The following is a 27,974-nucleotide window of genomic DNA, read 5'->3' as shown; positions in this document are numbered from 1 at the left end:
GGTCACTCCACTCCACTCCACACCATTCTATTCCATTCCACCCAATACATTCCACTCCACTCCACTTCAGCGCGTTTCATTTCATTTTGTTCGAAGTCAGTAGAATCAGTGCAATTCGATTCCATTCGTTTGCCTTCGATTCCATTATTTCCATTCGATTTGATTCCATTTGATTCATTACCATGCGATTTGATGCCATTCCATTCCATTGCACCCCACTCCACTCCATTCCACTCCAATGCACTCCACTCCACCTCACTCTAGTCCACTCCACGGCACTCCGCTCCGATCCAATCCACTCCACTCCAATCCATTCCAGTCCACTCCAGTCCATTGCACTCCATTCCACTCCAATCCACTTCACTGCACTCCTCTCCATAGATTTCCAATCCACCCAAGTTTACTCTAAAACATTCCACTCCACTCCACTCCACTGCATTCCTTTACATTCCATTCAATGCCTTTCGAATCCATTCCTTTAGAATCCTTTCGATTCCATTGGATTCATAATTTTCCGTTTGATTCGATTTGATTTGGTATCATTCCATGCGATTTAATTTCATTCTATTCCACGCCATTCCACGCCATTCCATTCCATAACAATCCACTTCATTCTTTTGCATTCCACTCTGCTCCACTCCATTCCATTCCACTCAACTGGACTTCACTCCACTCCATTCCTTTGCACTCCATTCCACTCCACTCTGCACCACTCCAATCCAGTCTATTCCATTCCATTCCAATCCAATCTACTCCACTCCACTGGAATCCACGCCATTCCACTACACTCCATTCCAATTCATTCCTCTCTATTCCACTCCACTCCAATTCACTGCCTTCTATGCCGTTTCATTTGATGCCATTCAAAACCATTTGATTCGATTCCATTTGTCTCCTTTGGATTCCATTGTTTACATTCAATTCGATTCCATTCAATTTCATTTGATTTCATTTTTTCCATTCGATTCGATTCAATCCAATTTGATTCCCTGCGATTCCATTCTATTCCATTCCATTCCAGTCCATTCAGTTCCATTCCCTTACATTCCATTCCATTCCAATCCACTCCACTCCATTCCTGTCCACTCTATACCATTCCATTCCATTCCTCTGCACTCCATTCCATTCCAATCCACTCCATTCCACTCCATTCCATTCCACTCCATTCCACTCCACTCCACTCCACTCCACTCCGTGCCACTCCACTCCACTGCACGCCACTCTTTTCAATCCCATTCCTTCCCTTTCCATTCCACTCCAGTCCACTCCAATCCACTCTGTTCCATTAAATTCTGTTCCACCCTATTCCATTGCACTCCTTTCCACTCCACTCCACTCCACTTCATCGCATTCCATTCGTTTCCATTCACTGACATTCAAAACCGTTCGATTCTATGACATTCGATTCCATTTGCCTCCATTTTTTCCATTTGATTCTATTCAATTCGATTTGATTCTTTTCAATTCCATGCGATTCCATTCCATTCCGTTCTTATCCATTCCATTCCAGTACGTTCCATACCATTCCATTCCATTCAACTACAATCCTCTTCATTTCACTGCACTCCCCGGCACTCCACTCCAATCCACTACATTCTACTACACTCCATTTTGTTCAATTCCATTGCTTTCCATTCCATTCCATTCCACTCCTCTCCAGTCAATTCCATTCATCCCATTCCATTCCACTCCACTCCACTCAACTCCACCTCACTGCATTCATTTCGATTCCATTCAATGTCATTCGAATCCATTCGATTTGATTCCATTGGATTCCATTTTTTCCATTCAATTTCATTCAATTCGATTTGATTCAGTTCCATATGATTCGATTCCATTCCACTCCATTCCATTCCATTCCATTCCACTCCGCTCCATTGCACTCCAAGCCACTTCAATCCCCTACAGTCCAATGCACTACACTCCACTTCGCTCCAGTCCACTCCACTCCATTACTCTCCATTCCACTCAATTCCACTCCACTCCATTAAATTCCATTCTACTCCACTCCATTCCATTCCACTCCACTCCATTGCATTCCATTCCATTCCACTCCACTTCTTTCCTCTCCAATCCACTACAATGCAGTCTACTCCAATCCACAGCACTCAATTCCAATTCACCCCTTTGAATTCCATTCCTGCCCATTCCATTCCATTCCACTCCACTGCATTCAATTCCACTTTACTCCATTCCCCTCCACTTCACTCCTTTCCAGTACTTTCCCCTCCATTCCTCTCTTTTCCCCTCCATTCCACTCGTTTCCCCTCCATTCCTCTCCATTCCACCCCACTCAAGTCCACTCCATTCAATTCCATTTCTTCCCATTCCATTATACTCCGTCCACTCCACACCACTCCACTCCATTCAATTCCATTTCATCCGATTCCATTCCACTCCATTCTACTCCACTCCACTTCATCGCATTCCATTCAATTCCATTCGATGCCTTTCCTATCCATTGAATTTGATTTCTTTTGATTCCACTTTTCCCTTTTGATTCTATTAAATTTGATTAGATTTGGTTCAATTTGATTCCATGCAATTCCATTTGATTCCATTCCATTCCATTTCAGTCCAATCCATTCCATTCCACTCCACTCCATTCCACTCCAATCCACTCCACTAAACTACTTTCCTCTCCATTCCACTCCACTCACTCCACTTCATTCCACTCCAATCCACTCCAGTCCATTCAATTCCATTCCAACCCATTCCATTAAACTCCATTCCACTACACTCCACTTCACCACTTTCCATTTGATTTCATTCTATTCCATTCAATTCCGTTTGATTCAATTTTGTTTGATATCATTTGATTCCATTTGGTCCATTCGATTCAATTTGATTTGATTCGTTTCAATTCCATCCGATTCCATTCATTGCATTCCATTCCACTCCATTCCAATGCATTCCATTTCATACCTATCCACGCCATTCCACTCCTTTCCACTCCCTTCCACTCCACTCCATTCCACTCCATTCCACTCCATTCTACTCCATTCCACTCCTCTCCACTCCACTTCACCACATTCCATTTGACTCCATTTGATGCCATTCAAATTCATTTGATTCGATTCCATTCTATTCCATTCACTTCCATTTTTTCCATTCTATTCGTTTTGATGTGATTTGATTTGATTTGATTTGATTCGATTCCCTACAATTCAATTTCGTTTCAACTCATTCCGTTCCATTCCATTCCAATCCACTCGACTCCACTCCACTCTATTCCATTCCATTCCATTCTACTCCATTCCATTCCATTCCTTTCCATTTCATTCCACTCTATTCCATTCCATTCCACTCCATTCCAGTCAATTCCATTCCATTCCCTTCCACTCCACTTCATTCCATTCCTGTCTGCACCATTCCATTCCACTCTAGTCCATTCCACTCCACTTCACTCCATTCCTCTCCATTCCACTGCACTCACCTCCACTCCACTCCATTCAATTCCATTCATTCCCACTCCATTCCATTCCACTCCAATCCACTCCAGTCCACTCCATTCAATTCTATTCCACCCCATTCCATTCCACTCCAGTCCACTTCCCCGCATTCCATTCAATTCCATTCGATGCTATTCGAATCCATTCTATTGGATTCCATTTGATTCCATTTTTTTCCATACAATTCGATTCAAATCGATTCAATTTGCTTTGATTCGATTTTATGCTATTCCATTCCATTCCATTGCATTCCGGTCCAATTCATTCCATTCCATTCCATTCCATTCCACTCCACTCCATTCCACTCCAATCCCCTCCGCTCCACTCCACTCCACTGCATTCCACACCAATCCACTCCACTCCACTACTTTCCACTCCGTCCCATTCCACTCCACTCCAGTTCAATCCACTCCAGTCCGTTCGATTCCTTTCCAACCCATTTCATTCCAATCCATTCCCCTCCACTCCACTTCACCTCATTCCATTTGATTCCATTCTATGCTATTCTATTCCATTCGATTTGATTCCTTTCGATTCCATTCAATTCCATTTTTTCCATTCAATTCGATGTGATTCATTTTGATTAGATTAGATTCCCTTTGATTTGATTCCATTCCATTCCATTCCAGTCCCTACCACTCAATTCCATTCCGTTCCACTCCAATCCACTACAATCCCTTCCATTCCACTACACTCCATTCCATTCCTCTCTACTCCATTCCATTCCATTCCACTTCATTCCACTAAATTCCACTTCATTACATTCCATTCAACTCCACTGCATTCCATTCCACTCTAATCTGGTCCACTTCACTGCACTCCACTCCTCTCCATTCCACTCCACTCCTCTCCACTCCACACCACTCCACTCAACTCCATTCCTTTCCATTCCATTCCATTGCCCTATACTATACTACACTACACTGCACTCCAATCCACTCCACTCCACTCCTCTCTATTGCATTCCATTCCATTCCATTGCATTACACTCCACTCCACTCCATTTCACTCCACTCCACTCCACTCTGTTCCATTCCATTCCATTCCACTCCATTCCACTCCATCACATTCCACTCCATTCCTTTCCACACTACTTTTCTCCATTCCACTGTACTCCACTCCGTTCAATTCCATTCCTTCCCATTACATTCCATTCCACTCCTGTCCACTACATTCCACTCCAGTCCATTCAATTCCATTCCACCAAAATCCGTTGCACTCCATTCCTCTACACTCCACTTCATCGCATTCCATTCGATTCCATTCGCTGCCATTTGAATCCATTTGATTTGATTCCGTTCAATTCCATTCGACTCCTTTTTTTTCCATTCAATTCGATTCAATTCAACCTCATGCAATTCCATTCTATTGCATTCCCTTCCAGTACATCCCATTCCATTCCACTCCACTCCATTCCACTCCAATCCACTCCACTCCAGTCCATTCCACTCCACTCCTCTCCACTCAACTGCACTCCACTCCACTTCATTCAATTCCTTTCCACTCCTTTCCATTCCACTCCATTCCACTCCATTCCACTTCATGGCATTCCATTTGATTCCATTCGATGCCATTCGAATCTTTTCAATTCCATTCGATTCCATTTTTTCCATTTGATTTGAATCGATTCAATTTGATTCTATTCCATTCGTTTCCATTCCATTCCATTCCATTCCACTCCACTCCATTCCACTCCAATCCACTCCATGCCACTCCATTCCACTCCACTGCACTCCACTCCACTCCATTGAATTCCATTCCTTCCCATTCCATTCCATTCCACTCCAGTCTACTCCACTCCACTCCACTTCTCTGCATTCCATTTGATTCCATTCTACACCATTTTAATCCATTTGATTAGATTCCATTCAATTCCATTTTTGCATTTGATTCTATCTGATTCAATTCCATTCTATTTGATTTGATTCCCTGCGGATTCCATTCCATTCCATGGCTATTCAAAGTCGATTGCATTCCATTCCATTCATCTCCACTCTATTCCACTCCAATCCACTCCACTGCACTCCACTCCACTCCTTTGAATTCCATTCTTTCCCATTCCATTCCTTTCCATTCCAGTCATCTCCGTTCCACTCCACTCCATTCAATTCCACTCCACACCATTCCACTCAACACCACTCCACTTCACCGCCTTCCATTTGATTCCATTTGATGCCCTTCGAATGTACTTGATTCGATTCCGTTCGATTCCATTTGGTTCCATTTTTTCCATTCAATTCGATTTGATTCAATTCCATGTGATTTGATTCCATTCCATTCCATTCCGTTCCATTCCACTCCATTCAATTCCATTCCATTCCACTCCATTCCATTCCATTCCATTCCATTCCACTCCACTCCATTCCACTCCAATCCACTCCGTGCCACTCCACTCCACTCCACTGCATTCAGTTCCTTTCCTTCCCATTCCATTTCATTCTACTCCATTCCACTCCACTCCACTTCACCGCATTTCATTCGATTCCATTCTATGCCATTTTAATCCATTCGATTAGATTCCATTCAATTCCATTTTTTCCATTTGATTCAATTTGATTCAATTCCATTTGATTTGATTCGATTCCATGTGATTCCATTCCATTCCATCCCATTCCATGCCATTCCATTCCATTCCATTCCATTCCGCTCCACTCTATTCCACTGCAATCCACTCCACTCCACTCCACTGCACTCCACTCTACTGCACTCCATTCAATTCCATTTCTTCCCTTTCCATTCCTTTCCATTCCAGTCCCCTCCATTCCACTCCATGCCAATTCATTCAATTCCATTCCACACCATTCCACTCAACACCACTCCACTTCACCACCTTCCATTTGATTCCATTCGATGCCGTTGGAATCCACTCGATTCGATTCCCTTTGGTTCCATTTTTTCCATTTAATTCGATTTGATTCAATTCCATGTGATTAGATTTCATTCCATTCCATTCTGTTCCATTCCACTCCATTCCATTTCATTCCATTCCACTCCACTCCACTCCAATCCACTCCATGTCACTCCACTCCATTCCACTCCATTCAATTCCATTCCACCCCATTCCATTCCACTCCATTCCACTCCACTCCACTTCATCACATTCCAGTCAATTCCATTCGATGCCATTCGAATCCATTCAATTCAGTTACCTTTGATTCCATTCAATTCCCTTTTTTCCATTCGATTCCATTCGATTTGATTGAATTCCATGTGATTCGATTCCATCAGATTTGATTCCATTCCATTCCACTCCACTCCATTCCGTTCCATTCCATTCCATTCCATTCCATTCCACTCCACTCCACTCCATTCCACTCCACTCCACTTTACTCCAATAAATTCCATTCCATTACTCTCCACTCCTTTCTATTCCATTCCACTCCACTCCATTCCATTTGATTCCACTCCACTATGGTCCATTCCAATCCACTCCACTCCATTCCACTGCTCTACATTCCACTCCATTCCACTCCACTCCACTCTGTTCCATTCCATTCCTTCCTATTCCATTCCATTTCACTCTGGTCCGCTTCACTCCACTCCATTCAATTCCATTCCACCCCATTCTATTCCACTCCATTCCACTTCCCCACATTGCATTCACTTCCATTCGTACTCCACTCTACTTCCCCGCATTGCATTCGATTCCATTCGATGCCGTTCGAATTTGTTGAATTCTAGTCCTTTCATTTCCATTCAGTTCCATTTTTTCCATTCGTTTTGTTTCAATTCACCACCTTCCATTTGATTCCATTTGAAGCCATTTGAATGCACTTGTTTCGATTCCATTCAATTCCATTCGGTTCCATTTTTTCCATCCAATTCGATTCAATTCAATTCCATGCAATTCCCTTCCATTCCATTCCACTCCACTCTACTCCACTCTACTCCTCTCCGTTCAATTCCATTCCTTCCCATTCCTTTCCATTCTACTCCAGTCCACTCCACTCCACTCCATTCAATTCTATTCCACTGCATTCCATTCCATTCCATTGCTCTCCATTCCACTCCACTTCAACACATTCCATTCGATTCCATTTGATGCCATTCGAATTCATTCGATCATTTCCATTTGATTCCATTTTTTTCCACTTGATTCGATTTGATTTGGTTCCTTGTGATTCGATTCCATTCCATTCCATTCCAGTTCATTCCATTCCATTCCATTTCACTCCACTCCATTCCACTCCAATCCATTCTACTACTCTCCACTCCACTCCCCTGCACTCCACTCTACTCCACTCCACTCCATTCAATTCCATTCCTTCCCATTCCATTCTATTCCACTCCAGTTCCCTCCACAGCACTCCCCTCCACTCCATTCAATTCCATTCCACCCCTTTCCATTCCACTCCATTCCACTCCACTCCACTTCTCCGCATTCCATTCAATTCCATTCGATGCAATTCGAATCCATTCGATTTGATTACATTCGATTCCATTTGATTCCACTTTTTCCATTCGATTCAATTAGATTCAATTTGATTTGATTCGACTCAATTCCATGTGATTCGATTCCATTCCATTCCTTTCCATTCCACTCCATTGCATTCCATTCCATTCCACTCCATTCCACTCCACTCCATTCCATTCCAATCCATTCCATTCCATTCCACTACATTCCACTCCACTCCATTCCATTCCACTCCACTCCTTTCCATTCCACTCCATTCCACTGCGCTCCATTCCTCTCCACTCCATCGTATTCCATTTTTTCCCATTCCATTCCATTCCACTCCTTTCCACTCTGCTCCACTCCACTCCTCTCCATTCAATTCTATTCCACCCCATTCCTTTCCACTCCATTCTACTCCACTCCACTTCACTGTATTCCATTTGATTTCATTCAATGCCATTCGAATCCATTTGATTCGATTCCATTCGATTCCATTTGATTTCATTTTTATGTATGGTAGATATACATAAAATATATATGTTTGAATATACATCAATTTCTATGTAATAAACATGTATATCGCCGTTATGTTTTGCCAGACAGTGATCAAAGCACTTTCTTCCCAAAGATAGATGAATTCTACTGTTCTCCCAAATATTTGTTAGCTTCTAAAATATACACATTTTGCTATCATATATACCAGGTTGGTGGGCAGGTGTGGTGTTTCATGCCTGTAATCCCAGGACTTTGGAAGGGAGGCCATGACATTAAGATTGCTTGAATTCAGGAGTTAAAGGCCAGCCTGGGGAACATAGAGAAACCCCATCTCTACAAAAATTGGCTCAGCGCAGTGGGGTGGACCTGTAGTCCCAACTACTTGAGAGGTTGAGATGGGAGGATGTCTTGCCATTACTAGAATGGACAAAGTCACAGGAGGGCAGGTTGGAAGAGGCAGAGGTTGCAATGAGCCAAGACCACACCACTGCACTCCAACCTGGGTGATAGAATGAGACCCTGTCTCAAAAAATAATGATAATAATAATAACTCCGGGTGTTGAAAGAGAAGGAGTAAACCCCAACTTATTAAATTATCTGCTCTGAAGCTCAGAAAGAGCATTAAATACCAAGTGAGTAAGAACTGGTCAAAGCGAAAACAAGCATCACAGGAGGGTTATCTAATGTGGGTGCTGGGGCCACAGCCAGGAGCTCGCAGCAGGTTCATCATCCACCTTCACAGGATGGAAGGCAGCGTTTCAGGGGTTCCAGGTGGCCAGATGCAGTGGTAAGAGCTTGGAAAGTTAAGTTTTTGGTTTCATAAAATTGAATTGGTTTGCTAAGATTTGGCCTCATCATCAGCTTCTGACTCTGAAGATTGCATTGAACAATGATAAAGGCCTTTTAGGAGATTAAGAACATTCAAGTACAGTTCCATGATGTTCTGGTCCCTGTAGGGGAAAATTAGTTCCATTTTAGTGATCGCCTTAAACTGGAGATATGGGGTGTCGGGTGAGAAGAACAGTTTGGATACAGCTGACCTCCACCCCTGGGCCCACTCTTACCCATACGCACATCCTCAAGGCAGCTCAGAGCAACATCATAGAATTTGAAAGGACACAGGTGTGGGCTCATGGGACATGTTCCATTTCCGCCAATCCCTTTGGCACCACTTAGGATCTGTTAACATAATGGTTACCATTTCCTAAGTGTCAGGCCCTCAGCCGAGTTTTCCACATGCAGTACTTAATTCTCTCAGACTCAAATCATTCTGATTCCAACGTCCAGATTCTTAACCAGTACACCATAGTGCAGCATGGTAGATTATACAAAGCAAAGGATCTGGAATTTGTAAGGCTTAGCTTTGAATTCTTGCTTATTCTTTCTAGTGCTGTGAGTTTGGGAAAGTAACTTAACTTCTTTGTGTCACTTTCCTCATGAGTAAAATGGAAATAATAATATCTGCCCATCAGTGTTGTGGCTATTCCATCTAATAAATATAAAGAACTTAGGGATTGTCCTTACCTGCAAAACAAATTATAACGAGGTTACAGGGTAGGCATGTGTCCTCCATGCCTTACTTGTGATTAGATGACTTGTACCATTTGATATTTCAAACCCAAAGGGGCCTGTTCCCTGGGGAAGTTTGCCCCAAAATAACTTTCAATTTAGCAGTGAATTTCTCACTCATTTTATGATGAAACAGCCGGACTGTAGACCGAGCTTGAGTATCCAAGCAGAGGCTGGAATGTAGATTCTTATATGTGCATGGCTCATACATTTTGACCCTTCTTGGAAGAGATTAAAGATGTTAAGCTTAGTTACATCATGGTTTTATCTAATGGAAGAAAATTAAGATGTCAAAATTTGTTACATTATATTAGTTTCTGTTCTAAGGCCTGGTAAAAATACTTTTATTATAGTCTAAAATTATTGACCTTTGTAAGTGCCCAGCCACACAGTGTGATATACAAAAAAGAGTGTGGCTGACACAGGCGTGATATTTGGCCTCCTGGGGACTCCTTTGCAAAGGCGGACCTGCTAACTAGAACAGGCAGGAAGGCTACTGAGTAGGAAGAAACATTAGTCTACACCAAGTACAATTAGATAGTTGTCCTGATCATCAAACTCAGAGCAAGCATACATGCCTTTGAGGGTTTTGTAAAACTGAGTAAATCCAAGAGAGGATGAGAAGGAGTTCCATGCACAGTCAAGGGGACAGTGTCTGACATCCTCCCAGTCAGTGCTAGGTGGTCCCCAGTCCTGGTGTCTCCCCACCAGGCACACTCTAACAATTCATTGCAGGCAGCGTAGCCCAGATTACTGAGAAACTCCAGGATGCACCTTCGCCTCATCTTGGGTGGCTGGCCAGACAGGGATTCCAGGAATCCTACCCACTGGCCAGCAAGGTATTCATTTGCAGGATGGCAAAAGATTCTGTCTCCAGGAGGATGCTGACCTGCTGATTTGGGGAGACTCAAATTTCTTATATTAACAAGAACTCCATGAAAAATTTTCCCTGGCACCCTACCCACCCTAGGGACAGCCAAGCTTGCAGAAAATCCAGGTGTGGACAATGTTTTCAAATAAGTTAGATTTTTTTTTAAATTTTTCAATTTGGTCTCTTCCCTGGATTATTGATTACAAATAATTAAATATTTTTGCCTTATTATTGTCACATGTTTAATATCTTACTGTTTATTATATGTCTGGGGTTTTTTTTTTCTTAATTTTCAAATATTCAAAGCCTCCTGCCTTTTCCTGAGTGAGGGAGTGATGAAAACAGTCTGTTGGAAAGATTAATTAGATAATAGAGATAACAGAGAGTAGTGGAGAAAACTTGATTCTGGAAGAACCAAGGCACACAGAAATGAGGAGCTAGATGAGGGCTGTGTAGAGAGGGGGAAAGCCACAGAGATGTCCCCAGGAGGAAATGCCAAGTCCTGAGAGCCGATAGGAGAGAAGGACTATTCTGGAATCGTTTCCAGCCAACATGGCACGAAGGAGGCATCAAAGCTCAGAACATGAAAGGGGTGATTTTCCAGCTGTCTTAACAACAGCTATATTGCCTCTGCTAATTCAGTGTTGGTAAGACTTCAGGTGGCTTCTATTCCAGTTGGACATGAATGAACCACCTAACCGTGGGACTGGTGCATTTTATCACATGACATTGGCTCTCCATTGCAAAAGTGACACCAGGGTTGGGAATTTGAGGGGCATGATACAAATTCAAGGAAATTCAAATAAATACGCAAAATCATTTGAATTTGTCCTTGTACCTGCAAATGTAGTCCATGTGGTCTCATCAGAAGTATGGATTTTTTTCTTCTTCAGGTCATTGTATTTCAGACATACACAAATAAAAGTCATGTGCCCATTGAGGCAAAATATATCTTTCCTTTGGATGACAAGGCCGCTGTGTGTTGCTTTGAAGGTCATCAGTGGGAAGTACATAGTTGGAGAGGTAAGGCAGAGATCATGCCTGCTCTCTGCTTTCAAAGTCAGCTTCCATTTCCCAGAACCTTTGTTTTCAGAGTCCCCATGGCTATAAGGTTGAGTAGCAGCCTTGTCATAAAACGAGAATATTCTTCGAAGAACCAGTTCTTGCACAGTAAGCCTTCCTCAAACATCCCTCCCTGATGAAGTGTTTCTATCCCTATCTATCCAGTCTTCATCATCAGTGTCTTGCACACTCTTTGCCTTGGCACTGTAAGAGTGATTTCAGTATGAAAAGTTTAAGAGGGCCGGGTGCAGTGGCTCATGCCTCTAATCTCAGCACTTTGGGAGGCTGAGGCAGGAGGATCACTCAAGGTCAGGAGTTCGAGACCAGCCTGGCAAACATGGCAAAACCCTATCTCTACTAAAAATACAAAAATTAGTCAGATGTGGTGGTGCACGCCTGTAATCCCATCTACTTGGGAGGCTGAGGCAGGAGAATTTCTTGAACCTGGGAGGTGGAGGTTGCAGTGAGCCGAGATTGCACCACTGCACTCCAGCCTGGGCAACAGAGTGAGACTCCATCTCAGAAAAAAAATAAAAAGAAAAGTTTAAGAGAGGCACATTGGAAAATTGGTTAGGTCCTTATATATTTTTGTAAAACCTGACCCTCGGCATCCTGCTATAAAAGTCAAGCTGAAATGAAAACTATTGTAACTTTCTAAAAAAAATAAAAAAGAAAGAAAAGAAACAACAGTTTATTAATTCTTTGTATATTGTAAGGATTATCCCACAGTTACAATTATAAACTATAATTTACTAAATTTAAAGTAATTATTATTTTTTGTTCAACATAAACTCCCAACCAAAAAAAATTTCTTTCACTATTGATTCTAAAATATATTGATCCCAACTGAAAGAGACTTCTCTTTAGTTGGCCTTTCCTGGTTCAAATTCTTATCAGATAAGTATATTTTGATGGTCACTTTAAGTTTCCATTCATCTTAGACTCAGTTTTTAGGTTTTGCCTGGGTTTTAATAAACATTGATGTTGTTTTCTTCATTAAAGCCTGAAGTCACTCTTCATGTAAGGAATGATTTAAAAATCATCTTTTCCAGATTAAAGAGAAGGAAGAAGCCCAGTCAGAGTACCGAGGAGCAGTGACCCAGGGCCATGGCGCTTACCTGATGAGTCAGGATGCTCCAGTATGGCTTGGTGTGCATGCTGCGTGCATACAGGAGAGGAAAAGAGAGTTAGAACAAGATATGAAATACGAATTTCATCCTAGAAGCTGAGAAAATTTACACTGTTGTGGGACCCAGACTTCCACTTGCTCTAAGTAAGGGGAAGCCATGACAGTCAGACCCATTTGACTTACCTGAACAAAGGAGGAAACGGCATCAATAGTTCCAGACAAACAGGAAGAGCTAGGCCTGTCATTGGGAACTGAGTTTCCCAGAAGGAATGACAGACAAAAAGATAACATTTGAGATATGTAACTTTCATCTTCTGATAAGAGTGATATATTGGCCGTGCACAATGGCTCACACCTGTAATCTGAGCACTTTGGGAGGCTGAGACGGGCAGATCCCGTGAGGTCAGGAATTCGAGACCAGCCTGGCCAACATGGTGAAACCCCGTCTGTACTAATAGTACAAAAATTAGCTGGGTGTGGTGGCAGGCACCTGTAATCCCAGCTACTGGAGAGGCTGCAACAGGAGAACCTCTTAAAACTGGGGGGCAGAGTTTGAAGTGAGGCAAAATTGCACCATTGCACTCCAGCCTGGATGACAAGAGCGAAACATCGTCTCAAAAAAAAAAAAAAAAAAAAAAAAAAAAAAAAAGAAGAAGAAGAAGAAGAATAGTGTGATATATTTACAATTTCCCTGGAAGTAAGCTCACCTAGCAGATGGTCCAAACATAAAGAAGGGAGGCATCCCTGCCGGGTCCTGTGTGGGCCCTGCTCCTGTGCTTTTAGGTGATTAGATTTAGCAGGGACATGACCTGGACAGCGTGGAAGAGGGAACAGCTGGCAGGTCCACTGGACTACTTTTCTTAAATATCAGGTGTTTTCACGAGGCTTCTGGCAGGTGCTAGATTGCGTGTAGTCAGCGTCTAACTCTAGTGCAGATATTTTAGTTGTTTTTGCAGATGGGGCCTTATGTTTGAGTATCACCTCTGGGGGAGACAAATGACAATGGTGTTTTGAAAATTTAATGTTTGCTGGAGCTAGGGGCATATTCAAGATTAATATAGATCGAAGGGGTAAATTATTGCTCTTGACATCTAAGATATCCACTTGCACGACGGGAATAGGCAATGAAGAGGTGATTATTGAACAGTTAACAATGCTGACTCTATGTATGGACAAACTGTATGTATAGAAGCCTGGGGTTCATTATCAGGTTATCCTCCTATGTGAGTTGGTAAATGTTTCCTCCTAAATACCTATGTATTTCCCTAGGAATATGGTCCATAAGACAACAGTCTTCACAAAAGATATTACCTATGGGTAAAGTCTGATCAAAACTATTGCTAACCCAAGAATTCAGGTCTCCCAGAATGCATTTGACATCTTGTGACTATAATGTTCTCCTATCATAATATATGGTATTCACTTTGGGAGGCCAAAGAAGGAGGAGCACTTCAGCCCAGGAGGTTGTAGTGAGCCATGGTCGGGCCACTGCACTCCAGCCTGAGTGACTGAGCAAGACCCTATCTTTAAACATAAACAAAGTTTTGAAAAAAGTAAGGCGTGTGATGGGGAGTCTGGGTGTGCAGTGGGGGAGCCTGCTTCAAGAGGAGACTGTGCCGGTTAGCAGTGCCCATGCCTGGAGGGGCTGGGATCCATTCTGCTTTTCTGTCAAGTTTTTGGGATCTTTCTAAGTGTTTCTCCCTCATCTTCCAAGCATGTGTTTGCAATTTCAAACTCTAGTAAAGTGAGCTTCCCGGGATAGAGACCATCAGGCGTCCTCCCTGGCGTGAGTCCTCGTCCTCTGAGAGCCGCCCTGAAGGAGCACAGGAAGACTCCAGCCTGCCTTGCTAATGGATGGAAGCTGTAACTACCAATAACCCATGTTAGGGATCTTTTAGTCAATGTTATGATCATCACCAATTAATATGGAGGTTAAAGACAAATCCAGTCTTTATCCATAGGTTGAAAAACATCTTGGAAATTATTTTCATAAGCTCTTTTTCTGAAAAATAATTGATGTTTTCTTTAATACTTCAGGAGGAACTCCTTTAAGCAAGGAGTTCTTGATAGTTGTAGAATTATTTTAGAGAGAAAAGTAATAGGGCATTTGTCATTTAAATGTCAGAGATGCTCTTTGCTAGAGTGAGAGTTGCTTCCTTATGCCTTTTGCTATGTTGATGTGTATCAGATTTTAAGAGGTAGACTTTATTCACTCTTTGCCAGCTCTAGGCCTTTGGGATCAGATTTAGGTAATATTGTTACTTATGGAAATTAAGTTGATATCTTTGTCAGCATTCTGATACCTTATAGGGTTGTTTTTAGCGTCATTTACTCCCTCCCTCAGGAATTGAAAGTCAAGATTTTCAACTTTTTTCTATTTGAAGGATAAGTCAGTCCTCTGATGGATGGGAGCTTAAATTAGCCAAACTTTCAGATCTTTCCTCCTATTATCACTTTCTCTGTTTAACCTCAGCTACACTTGAGTACATTCTTCCCCATGTCTTGTCTCTCATGTTGAGTTGTGAGATTTCTCAACACTGTTAACATGTACTTCAAAAATATTTCTCCAATATCTTCAAAATTAAAACAGGTGAAATGCAATCAGTTCTACAGCAAATCGTCACATCCTAAGGATTTTTTCCCAGTGTAGTGCCGGAGTATTTGAATATTTTAATGCAAAATCCAAACATAGTTGGAGAAAAGAGATATGTTTTTTAAACATCTGGTTTTATGTGTACATGCGGAAATCTCACATTCTTCCAAGGCTAAGAAATAGGAACATCTGTGTTTCCTTGAGTGAGAGGGGAGGCGCAAAGAGGCAAGCGCTGCCGCAGTTGTGAGCCCTGACTCAGGACTGCACCAGCGGGAATACAGGAGTTCTTCAGGTCAATCTCCCAGCTCATAGTTTGATTTCTGCCTTAAAAATCATGGACTGATTTTTTAAAAGTGAATTATTAAATATGTTTTGCTGAAATTAATTTTCTTTATTATAAAATTTACCATTTTAACCTTTTTTAAGTGTACAATTTAGTGCTGTTAGCTACATTCACAATTCTGTGCAACCATCACCATCTTCAAACTATTTCATCAGCCCAAACAGAAACTATGTACCCATTAAACAGTAACTCCACATTCCCTCCTACACCCAGTGCCTGCTACCACGACTCTACTTTCTGTCTCTATGACTTTGCCTTTTCTGAGTATCTCATATAAGTGGAGTAATAGGACATTGTCCCTTTATGTCTGGCTTATTTCACTTAACATGATGTTTTTAACGTCCATCTACGTTGAAGCATGTGTCAGAATTTCCCTTCTTTTTAAAGCTGAATAATATTCCATTGCCTGGATAGACCACATTTTGCTTATCCATTCATCTGTCGGTGGACACTTGGGTTGTTTCTGTCCTTTGGCTATTGTGAATAATGCAGCTATGAGCATTGGTATGCAAGTGTCTGTTTGAGTCTGCTTTCAATTCTGGATATATGTGTAGTGTGGGATTGCTGTATCATATGGTCACTCTATCTTTAGTTTTTTTTGGGAATTGCCATGTTGTCTTCCATAGCAGCTGCATCATTTTACATTCCCACCACCAATGCACCTGGATTCCAGTTTTTCTACATCCTCACCAACACTCATCATTCCGGTTTTTTCTATATTGATTGAAGTCAACCAGCTTTTCTTTGGTTTGTTTTGGTTTTTGAGACACGGTGTCACTTGGTCATCTAGGCTGGAGTGCAGTGGTGCAATCATAGCTCACCACAGCCTCGACTTCCTGAGCCCAAGCAATCCTCCCACCTCAGCCTCCAGAGTAGCTGGAACTACAGGGGTATGCCACCACTTTTTTTCCTATTGTTTTTTATTTCTCTGTTTGGTTTTTGTTTGTTGTTGGTATTTTTTGAGACAGTGTATCACTTTGTCACCCAAGCTGGAATGGAGTGGTGCAATCTTGGCTCACTGCAGCCCTGACATCTGGGTCTCAAGCCATCCTCCTGCCTCAGCCCTCCAAGTAGGTGGGACTACAGGCCCACACCACCACACCCAGCTAATTTTTTGTAGAGACAGCATTTCACCATGGACCCAGGCTGGTCTCAAATCCCAAGCTCAAGCAATCTGCTTGCCTTGGCCTCCCAAAGGGGCTGGTATTGCAGGCATGAGCCACTCTGCCCAGCCACCACTTGTTTTTTAATAACAGCCATCCCACTGGGTGTGAAATGGGATCTCGCAGTGGTTCTGATTTACACTTCCCTAATGACTAGTGACATCAAGCATCTTTGCATGCACTTGCTGGCTTTTGTGTATCTTCTTTGGAGAAATATCAAGTACTGGAATCTACTCATACCAAGGTTGCATATTAGTAATTAGCTAAAGACATAATTTCAGGATGCTTTGTAAATGTAAAGGATGGGATCATGCTATTATTTAAAATTCTAGCTGGGCATTGTGACTCATGCCTATAACCCCAGAACTTTGGGAGGCTGAGGCGGGTGGATCACCTGAGGTCAGGAGTTCAAGAACAGCCTGGGCAACATGGTGAAACCCCATCTCTACTAAAAATACAAAAATTATCCAGGTGGGGTGGCACATGCCTGTAGTGCCAGCTACTTGGGAGGCTGAGGCAGGAAAATCACTTCAACCTGGGAGGGGGAGGTTGCAGTGAGCCGAGATTGTGCCAGTGGACTACAGCCTAGGTGACAGGCAAGACTCCATCTCAAAATAGAATAAATAAATGAAGTAAAATAAAATAAAATTCTGTTTAAAATCTTTTCGGGAAAATACCCAGTAGCAGGAGGGAGAGAAAATACCATAGAGTTATAAAATTCCCGAAGGATAGAATGTATATTTTATTTTAAATGTGAAGTAACTATTTTCTGGATGGAGCATTGAAAGAGAAATAATTCCTTTTTTATAAATAGATAGAAGACCAAATGACCAGGTTATGTTCTCCGAATTGCCACTCTGTCTCCGTCAAATGGTAGCAACTCAACACAGATGTGCCCGCGGCCCTGCAGGCCCCAGCCCAGGTGCCGTCGTTGTTTCACAATGATTGACTCCTTGTCTATGGATTCATTCCTCACTGCACACAGGTAAGAAGGAGCAGAGTTTGTTATTCTATGGGAAGACCAATATATTTTGCTATTTTTTTCTGTCTTCTTCCCTCCCCTTCTCACCAACAGATTTTCTTCTTCTGAGAACACAGCTGGTGGTTAGCCAGGGCTTTGGGGAGGCTTCTAGTTTTTATTGAAAGGGGAGAGGAAATCACTAAAAGAATTTCTGTTAAACGAAGACACTGCAGAGCGGAAAGGCTAATGAGGATTTTTTTTTCCCATTTCAGGCAACTCTGTGTGCACTAATTTGAGAAAGAATTTTTGTACAATAGTGTCGACTATTGAGCTTCAGAAGACAACTGGAACTTTAAGATTCAAAACCTAAACTATCGACCCATTGTTTGAAAGTTATGATTTTATATTTCCAAATATAATGCTCTATGTCAAGCTTGTCCAACCCACAACCCAGGGCAGCTTTGAATGCGACCCAACACAAATTCGTAAACTTTCTTAAAACATTATGAAAATGTTTTGCAAGTTTTTTTTCAGCTCATCAGCTATCATTAGTGTTAGTGTATTTCATGTGTCACACAAGATAATTCTTCTTCTTCCATTGTGGCCCAGGGAAACCAAAAGATTGGATCCCCTGCTGTCTGTACTTCCTTTGTTGATTTCCTGTGTTGAAATTTCATTACACGATGTGGAGATGGGCCATCTGTACAAATGAGCTTACTTTCCTTCTGTTTCTAATGCAGCACTTCTTCATCTGAGGTAGTTGGGTTTAGGTGTGTCTATATGGGCATCAGTGGGTGGCAATTCTGCAGTTAAATATGGCATTTATGCTTGGAAATTTTTCTAGAGAGGTTCTCAAAGATGTTCATGACTCAATAAAAGTTACATGCCACCAGGGTGCGGGCCCTGCGGGACGGGACGAGGGCGGGGCGCATGCCGCGAGCACCCGCCTCCCCGCGCTCTGCTGGCCTCCACACCCTGGGGCCGCCTTTCCTTTCGCAGGGGCAGCGGGGTGTCCTGGAAGCCCCGGAGCTTCATGGAAGCCTGGGAGGGCGGCGGAGTGGGGTCCGCAGCGCGGTGCCCAGAGAGGCAGCCGGCGCCCGAATCCAGGGTGCACTTCCAAGCGGCGAGGTTCATCATGGAGGCAAGTGTCAAGCTAGGGGTGCAGTCCATTCCCATTGCCACTGCTTGCACCATTTACCATAAATTCTTCTGCGAGACCTGACTGGACGCCTGTGACCCTTACCTGATTACCATGTCTTCCATTTACTTGGCCGGCAAAGTGGAAGAGCAGCACCTGCGGACTCGTGACATCATCAATGTGTCCAACAGGTACTTAAACCCAAGCGATGAGCCCCTGGAATTGGACTCCCTCTTCTGGGAGCTTAGGGACAGCATTGTGCAGTGTCAGCTTCTCATGCTGAGAGTTCTGCGCTTCCAAGTCTCCTTCCAGCATCCACACAAGTACCTGCTCCACTACCTGGTTTCCCTCAAGAACTGGCTGAACCGCCATACCTGGCAGCGGACCCCCGTTGCCGTCACTGCCTGGGCCCTGCTGCAGGACACCTACCACGGGGGGCTGTGCCTCCACTTCCAGGCCCAGCACATCACCGTGGCAGTGCTCTACCTGGCCCTGCAGGTCTGCGGAGTTGAGGTGCCCGCTGAGGTCGAGGCTGAGAAGCCGTGGTGGCAGGAGTTTGGTGACGACCTTACCAATCATTGACAATATTGTGTCTGATCTCATTCAGATTTATACCACGGACTCAGAGATCCCCTAAGGCCCTGGCCTAGGCCTGCCCAAAGAGAAGCCTAGGATGATCAGCTGCCTGGGGAAATTGCCACCATGTCACCACGATGGCTGGTCCTCAGAGGACCAGCTGGGAGGACTGGTTGTGCTGCTGGAGAAGGGCTGGAGAAGGCGATAGCATGCTGCCGCTTTGACAGTCCCTAGCAGTCGTGGTCCAGGTGATGGTGGGAGCTGGGCCTCCAGCGGGCAGGCCCGGAGTGCACTGTGTGCAGCTGATCCAAGGCAGCCACATCTGCTTTTGTCCTTTGAGAGGAATCTGACTACAATACAGGCATGACATCAATGAAAGGAAAATCATGAAATCGATGAGACTGAATCCCTAGGGATTTTTTTATAGCCAGATTTATAGCAAGAATGAATGTGCAATGTGGCTGAAATCTATTTTGTGTAATAAAAGGTGATGCAAGTCAAAAAAAAGTTACATGCCCACTGGTCTACTGATGCTACTTAGAAATATTAGTTATAAAGTACTGGACTAAGAGTAGATCATATTGTATATTGAGGATGTGGGTTTTTTCCGTGTTTTGATTAAAACCAAATGAATTATGAAAGAAAAAATTCCTGTTTCCCCCACAGTCACACCATTTCTAGTTTCCAGATATGTGTTTTTCCCAACCAATTCTCTGACACCAGTTGCATGTCCTACAATTTAATTCAGTTCTGACATTAGCTGCCTGGGGTTGGCACAGATCTCACAGGGTGAGGGCCCAGTCCCACAAGACTGCTCCCCACTCCAGAAACCAGTAGCAAGTACCAGGTCCCCAGGTTACCCACACTTCTGGTCAGCTCCAAGACAGTGTTCCCACAACCCTTTCTCAGGTTCAGTAATTTCCTGTAGCAACTCACAGAACTCAGGAAACCTTTACTTAATACTTAATACTTAATAATTAGTATTACTGATTTATTGCAAAGAATATTATAAAGGATACAAATGAACAGCCAGATGAAGAGGTATATAGGGTAAGGCCCAGAATAGTCCCAAGCACAGGAGCTTCTGTCTAACATACAATTGGGGTGCACCATCCTCCTGGCACATGAATGCTGACCCAGAAGCTCCCTCAACCCCTTTAGATGGGGTTTTTAATGCAGGTTTCATTACAAAGTCCTGGTTGATTAAATCATTGGCTGTTGGTGATTTACTCTCCCCTCCCTGGAGATTGGGGAGTGGGGCAGAAAGTTCCAGCCCTCTAATCATATGGTTGGCTCCCCTGCTACCAGCCCTCACCATGGGACTTTCTAAAAGTCACCTCATTAACATAAACTCAGGTGTGGTTGAAGTGTCCTGTTAGGAATAACAAATACATACATTTCTTATGTCTGTAGGGAAGTTCAAACTTTCCCTCTGAAGTTTCCACCTTTGGTCTATAAAATAATCCAACAATAGATGAACAGGGCAAACGACATGCAGATGTCGTTACGTGTGCAGGGGCCACATGAGACTCAAAGAAGGGCCAGATGAGTGAAGTTTCATACCATACAGAGGTGGGTAGATTGTCAGGCTCCTGGGGGGAAGTGGGGACACGTTGTGGGAGGGTGAGGGGAGGAAACATGTGGTGAGCAAAGGCTTTCTTCTGATGCAGATGAAGTCTGGCAGGCAGCAGACCTGAGAGAATAGAAGCACTTCTGGTAACAGTTTCTCTATCATCTCTTTAAATATCAGACTTTAGCCTCCTCTTCCTGGGAGTTCATCTTTCCTAAATCTGGATAAGGCAGATAAGGGGGTCTCAGAGAAAGCCTATTTGCACCTGCTGTTTACTTCACTGACATAAGATTCCTCTGCAGATGCAAATATTCCCTACAAATGGACTGCTTTTCAGAGCTATTCCTGTGTCTGCTGTCCCTCTGAAAGCATCTCAAAATATGCCAAATAAGTCTCTTTCGGGGTGGCCTATTTTTACCTTTTTGTATATCACAATATTGCAAATTATTACCAAGAAGCAACATTTGGACTGGTACTGAATCCACTATAGTTTAGCCTATATATGCCATTTATGTAGTTTTTTTATTCAAAGGAGTATTAGTATAACCAGGTAAACCATTTCCCAGACATTGCTGGTTTTTTTCTCAAAAATGTGTAGCTTACTTTTCATCACTATATCAGTATATTGACTTATTAGTTGCCAGTGACTTATGTATAGAACTTAAGCTCAATATTGCTTTAAAAAATAGATCTTTATGGGTACTGATAAGGGAGAATAAATTAAAAGTGTACTTTTAAAATTAGATCTAAGGGGGAAAGAAGGTAAAATAATTTTACCTGGGAACAGGTAATTTTCCATGAAGTCACAGCAAGTTGTACTTCCTCTGTGAGAAACACCCCTATCAATGACAAAATTACAAGGGTTGGAATGAAGGAGAGTTCCATCTCTCAGTTGTTGGAGAGGAAGCACCTGGTGGTGCACATTGTGCCGTCCTCACCCTGCAGAGTGCAGATCATGTTCATGGATGGGCATCCCAGCACCAAGGTAGCTCTTCCTATGGTAGAAAAGAAGTTTTCATTTTTTTAAATAAAATGAATTGGCAAAATGGCCTTTTATAGAAAAAGCAAAACTCTAGGGACAGAAAGCAGATGAGGAGCTGCCAGAGCTGGAGGAAGCTACACAGGGACACAGAGGAACCTTTCAAGGTAAAGAGAATATTCTGTCTTCACTTCAACAGTGGTCATGCAACTGTATACATCCCTTAAGATCATCAAACTATATATTTAAGAGGAGTGCATTTTACTGTATGTAGGTTATACCTTCATTTTTAAAATGATTTTCTTTGCAAGTCTTTTATTAGAAGCCAAGTGGATCTTTTTTTTTCCTTTGCTACTTAAACACAGATGATTGACAAGCTGGCAACCCGAGCTCTAATCAGAGATTACAAAGATGGCATTCTTCATGAAAATGAAACCAGTCGTGAGGTTTGTTCTTTTCATTGTAAAAACTATTAGACATTGTTCTTAAGCATTCTTACATTGATTTATCTGTGGAAATAGAAAGTGAGGTCAGCTGCATGGAGAAGGAGACTGTGGTGTCAGGGCATTCATCACTGTATCTGTGACACTGTGCCTGGGATGTGTGGTGTGTGGTAAATGTTTGTTGAATGAATTAACAAAAGAGTGGATGTCAGTGGTTTCTGGAAAATTCTGTAATGTTTTGTTTATCAGAAAAAAACCAAGGAGGGCTCAGAGAGCACTCAGTGAGTGCCTGTAGTGGACGTCACCTCAGATCTCTCATGTGGTAGCATTAGTATTCCCATCTTACTGATGAGAGTCCTGAGTGCGAAATGCTGAGTGACCTGCCAAAGCCCACCTGACTCCCCGATGCTGTGCAGACCACGGCCTCCGCAGAGGATCCCCTCACCCAGGCCACAGGGACTGCCCAGCTGTTCTCTCAGGGATGAGATCTTCAACAACGCTGTGAGTGTTAGTCCTCAATGCCATCCCCACAAGAAGGTGCCAGCGTGACAGCAGGCCCTGGAGACCCCCACAGACAGTTCTAGTGACAGATGGTCACCTGGTGGTCTCCCTATTCTACTCAGATGCCCCTGGGTTGGCAGCTTCTCTGTGATGTTTTGTTTAAGACCCTTTTGTCCTGAACAAGTCATTCTGTCTTTCCAATTCTTCAGCTTTAAATTGGGAGCCACAGACTGTGAAAGAATGAGAAAGCCCACTGCCCAGGAGAGCTCTCTGTGAACTACAGGGAGCTGAATAATGAAGAGTGACATTTTCTATGGCTAAGTCAGTTGATCTCATTTTAAAGGGAATATTGAGCCACCTATTTAGATGGGACCTACAATTCAATATTTAGTCTGAAATACAAATCTTAAAATGATTTACTGAAGTATCTAAATAGAAATAAACAAAACAGGACATGACTTATATTTTATTCTATCCTGGATGAAGAAACAAACCTTGAAATCTCTGATTATTAAACCCAGTAAAGAAAACTCTCTCATAATACAATTTACAAGCTTTGTGGCAGTTGAGAAAAGGGTATGTATTATTGTTAATTCAAGGTTATATTATTTTATTTATATTTCCACATTAAGAAAGTCACTCTTGCTTTGACGGTTAATGACAACACCCACACCCTGGGCCTGTGAAGCGTGGGTTGCTGACAGGCCAGTAGGCCCCATGAGTCCCAACCTCCCATTCATGGGCAGTTTCAGTGTTGGGACTTATGGTGATCTTTCTAAATGAGTTGGGTATGTTATCATTTTTAATGTTATAGTTATTATTAATAATTAGCTAATGTGTATTTTTCAGATACCCTATAATTTTGTTACAGTTTTGGCATTTATTGTCTTTTATTAATCCAAGATCGTCAAAAAATAGAAAAGGCCTGGGTTCTCTGAGAGCCCCTTCCCCCTTCATAAGTTTAAGGGGAAAATTCACATAATATGCCCAGCACAGTGGCCAGCACCTGCCAGTGCTCTGTAAAGAGGAAAGTCACTCCACCTCCCCACTTTCCCTCACGCTTGTGGCCCAAGGCCCAAGCTCCAGTCCCACACACCAGCATAAAAGCCAACACCCATAGGCTTTAGAATGTGTGATTATCATTTAATTGGATAATGTCTGTTTGATTTAATCTATTTGTGATTCGATATAGGATGAGAATGAGTCACCTTTTCCTGATATTCCAAAAGTTTCTGAACTTATTACCAAAGAAGATGTAGACTTCCTGCCCTACATGAGCTGGCAGGGGGAGCACCAAGGAGCCATCAGGAACCAAGTAAATGCTGATTACCAAATAAGTTGATATTGAGCTTTGTTTGTTCATGAAGATGAAGGGAACCCTTTGCTAAAATAGCTCCCTTCTTACCTGTATATGAAGAAGTTGTTGTATCCCTGATGATGGAAAATATTCATGCATTTATAAAATGTTGAATTACATCATGTTGCATTACAGAGACTTCACAATGTATGAACGGAGCTGTATAGTACAAAAAGAGAACACCTGTGGCTGTGCTTCTATCATGGGCAAATAGATTTTCATACAGGAAGCTAAAGTCATCTAGGTAGTGTAATAGGTTTGTCATAAAATTATCAATAGAAGTGCTATATCTAATAGATCAATAGAACTGCTAATAATCTAAATTCACCACCAATATTTCTTAAAGTTTATAGTGCTTTAGACTGTGGCCCTTATGACCAGAAATACAATAGAAATGGAAAAATGTGGCTTAAATAAAAATTGGAAACAAATTGAAAAGCAAAGAAACTGTTTTGTTAACAGTGCCGATAACACTCTTAGGTCTCTAGGTTAAAAAACTAAAATTTCCAAAATGTAAGAATTTAAAATCTAACTGGGCACCATGGTTCATTACTGTAATCGAAGCACTTTGGGAAGCTGAGGTGGGAAAAATCACCTCAACCCAGGAGTTTGAGACCAGCCTGGGCAACAAAGTGAGAACTCATCTCTACAAAAAGTTTTTTAGGCTGGGTGCAGTGGCTCATGCTTGTAATCCCAGCACTTTGGGAGGCCGAAGAAGCAGATTGCTTGAGCCCAGAAGTTCAAGACCAGCCTGGGGAAAATGCTGAAACCCCATCTCTCCAAAAAAAAGTACAAAAATTAGCTGGGCATGGTGGTGCATGCCTGCAATCCCAGCTACTCAAGAGGCTGTGGCAGGAAGATGCTTGAACCCAGGAGGCAGAGGTTGCAGTGAGCCAAAATGGCACCCCTACACTCCAGCCTGGGTAACAGAGTGAGGATTTGATCATAAATAAGAAAATAACATACGAAAGATGTGCAACCTTGTTACTAAAAGAATTTAAAATATAAAAACTGTCATGAGATTCCTTTTTATTATTTAACTCTGTCAGGTTGGCAAATATCATAAAAGGTAGATGACTGAAAGTCAGTAAATACAGTGGTTAAGATCACAGGTGCTGTGGCTGAGTGCTCAGGTCTGAACCCCAGCCCGCACTTCGCTCTGTTGGACTTGACCTTCCCAGTGCCCCAGTCCTAATGCCCGAGTGGGGAGAGCAGAAAAATCCACCTCAGGTGATTGTAAAGAGTTCTGAGACCATTATAACATGTCTAGCTTGTGGATATTTGATAAATATTAGCTGTAGTTATTAATTCACAAAGGTGTCTGAAACAGACACTGTTGCCCAAACAGATGGGGCAGAAAGCTGACAAGTGGTCTTGGGTTTGGAGGGATACTTGCTTTTTCTTCTTTTTTTTAAATCTTAACTTTTTTTTTTTTTTTTTGAGATGGAGTCTCACTCTGTCACCCAGGCTGGAGGGCAGTGGCATGATGTCGACTCACTGCCACCTCTGCCTCCTGGGTTCAAGTGATTCTCATGCCTCTGTCTCCTGATTAGCTGAGATTACACTTGTGTGCCACCACACCCAGCTAATTTTTGTATTTTTAGTAGAGACAGGGTTTCACCATGTTGGCCAGGCTAGTCTCGAACTCCTGACCTCAAGTGATCCACCTGCCTTGGCCTTCCAAAGTGCTCAGATTTCAGGCATGAGCCACCGCCCCTGGCCTTACTTTCTTACAGTGCACCCTTTTGTATATTTTGAATTTTGAACCATTGGCATGGATTGCCCATGAAAGAAAAATAATACTTTAAGCAAACACAAACAAATAGTTTGGGGAGTCAGGAGGAGTAGGAAGTTCATTGTTTTGGAAAAAAAAAATTCTGATGTACAATTAAGAATCGACTGTCCTTGAAACAAGAGAGACTCACTGTTAAAATGGGCCCTGGAAAATGTATACTTATCTTTTATGTGTTTCAAAAACGCACACCCAGAAGAAGCTCTGAAACTGGAGATGGTCATGGTTGCACAACAGTGTGAGTGTGCTTCATGCCACTAACCTCTGAAATGACTACAATAGCAAACATTGTTGTATACATTATTCCCACAATGAAAATTAAATTAACAAAATAAGAGATACGCCCCTACACTCTGCCACACACGTAAGTACTTTGTTCAGAGAAAAGCTCTGGAGGGATATATGCCAGAGATCAGATAAAACATTCTGTATGGCTTTTATGTTCTTCTTTGTGGCTGTCTACTTGTGTCTACTTGTATTTTCTAATTTTCTCATAGTACACATGTATTGTTTTTAGATTTTTGGTTTTTTTTTTTTGAGACAGGGTCTCGCTCTGTTGCCCAGGCTGGAGTGCAGTGGCACCATCACAGTTCACTGCAGCCTCGACCTCCTGGGCGCTACAGATCCTCCTACCTTGGACTCTCTAGTAGCTGGGATTACAGGAGTGAGCCACCATGCCTGGCCTGTTTATAGAGATGTTTGAAGTTATTTTCAAAATTAGTTATAAATTAATTTAGGTTTTAATACAGCGTGGTGATGAATTATTTCATACTAAATTTGCAAATACTTTGGATCTGAATACTTCCAGATCCAAAAATATCAGATGAAAAATATTATCCATTAGTTTGATGACTTGAAAGTTTATATTTATGTTAGCTGCAATAAATTTTTTTAATGGGCCATGTAATTTATCAAAAATGTCAAGCCTCTGTTACTCTCCCTCGGTATCTGTTTTACCAAAATGTGGCACCTGCCACATTCTGCATGGAGTTATTCCACTGAATTCAGTAACAAGCCAGCTGCAATAGAGCCCAGACATCTGGATCTGTTTGGTCCTTCCCGACTCACTGAAGCTTGAGGCATTTCCTTATTTGATACATCTTCATTGTGAAATGAGACCGTCCAGGGAGTGCAACACCTTTTCTGCTGGGACGCGCTCAGGAAGGACAGCGCTCAGTGCTGGGTGCTCTCGCCCCCCTAAAGCCACACCAGGGCTTAGGCGCAGTGTCTTCTGCACCAACCCCAAGTCCACTTCGTTCCCTCCCGCTCATGAAAGCACACTGAGAACAAGCCAGAGGGAGACATTTTTAAAACATACCTCCTAATCCAAGTTTTTAAAGTAAATCATTTGAAAAATTCAATGCTATAACTCTTAGCAAGAAATTGAGGGCACTGAAGCTAGGGGTCCAGAGCCCATGCTGTTCCTTAAATCAGGGGTCCCCAACCTGCAGTCCCTGACCTGTCAGGAACCAGGCTGCGCAACAGAAGGTGGGGGGGCAGTGAGCGAGCATTACTGCCTGAGCTCACCTCCTGTCACATCAGCAGTGGCAGTAGATTCTCATGGGAGCCCCGAACCCTGTTGTG

The 27,974-nt window shown here is 42.6% G+C and overlaps 2 pseudogenes; both read left to right on the top strand.

The window, feature by feature from the left end:
- The window catches only part of PARP4P1 (poly(ADP-ribose) polymerase family member 4 pseudogene 1), a 39,988-nt pseudogene continuing 23,687 nt past the window's right edge, over positions 11,674–27,974 (top strand).
- CCNQP2 (CCNQ pseudogene 2) lies at positions 18,961–20,006 on the top strand (annotated as a pseudogene).

Source organism: Homo sapiens, chromosome Y (genome assembly GCF_000001405.40).
Source record: "Homo sapiens chromosome Y, GRCh38.p14 Primary Assembly".
Lineage (NCBI taxonomy): Eukaryota > Metazoa > Chordata > Mammalia > Primates > Hominidae > Homo > Homo sapiens.
The sequence above is the reverse complement of the archived record's forward strand: the minus strand, read 5'-3'. Positions and strand labels throughout refer to the sequence as shown.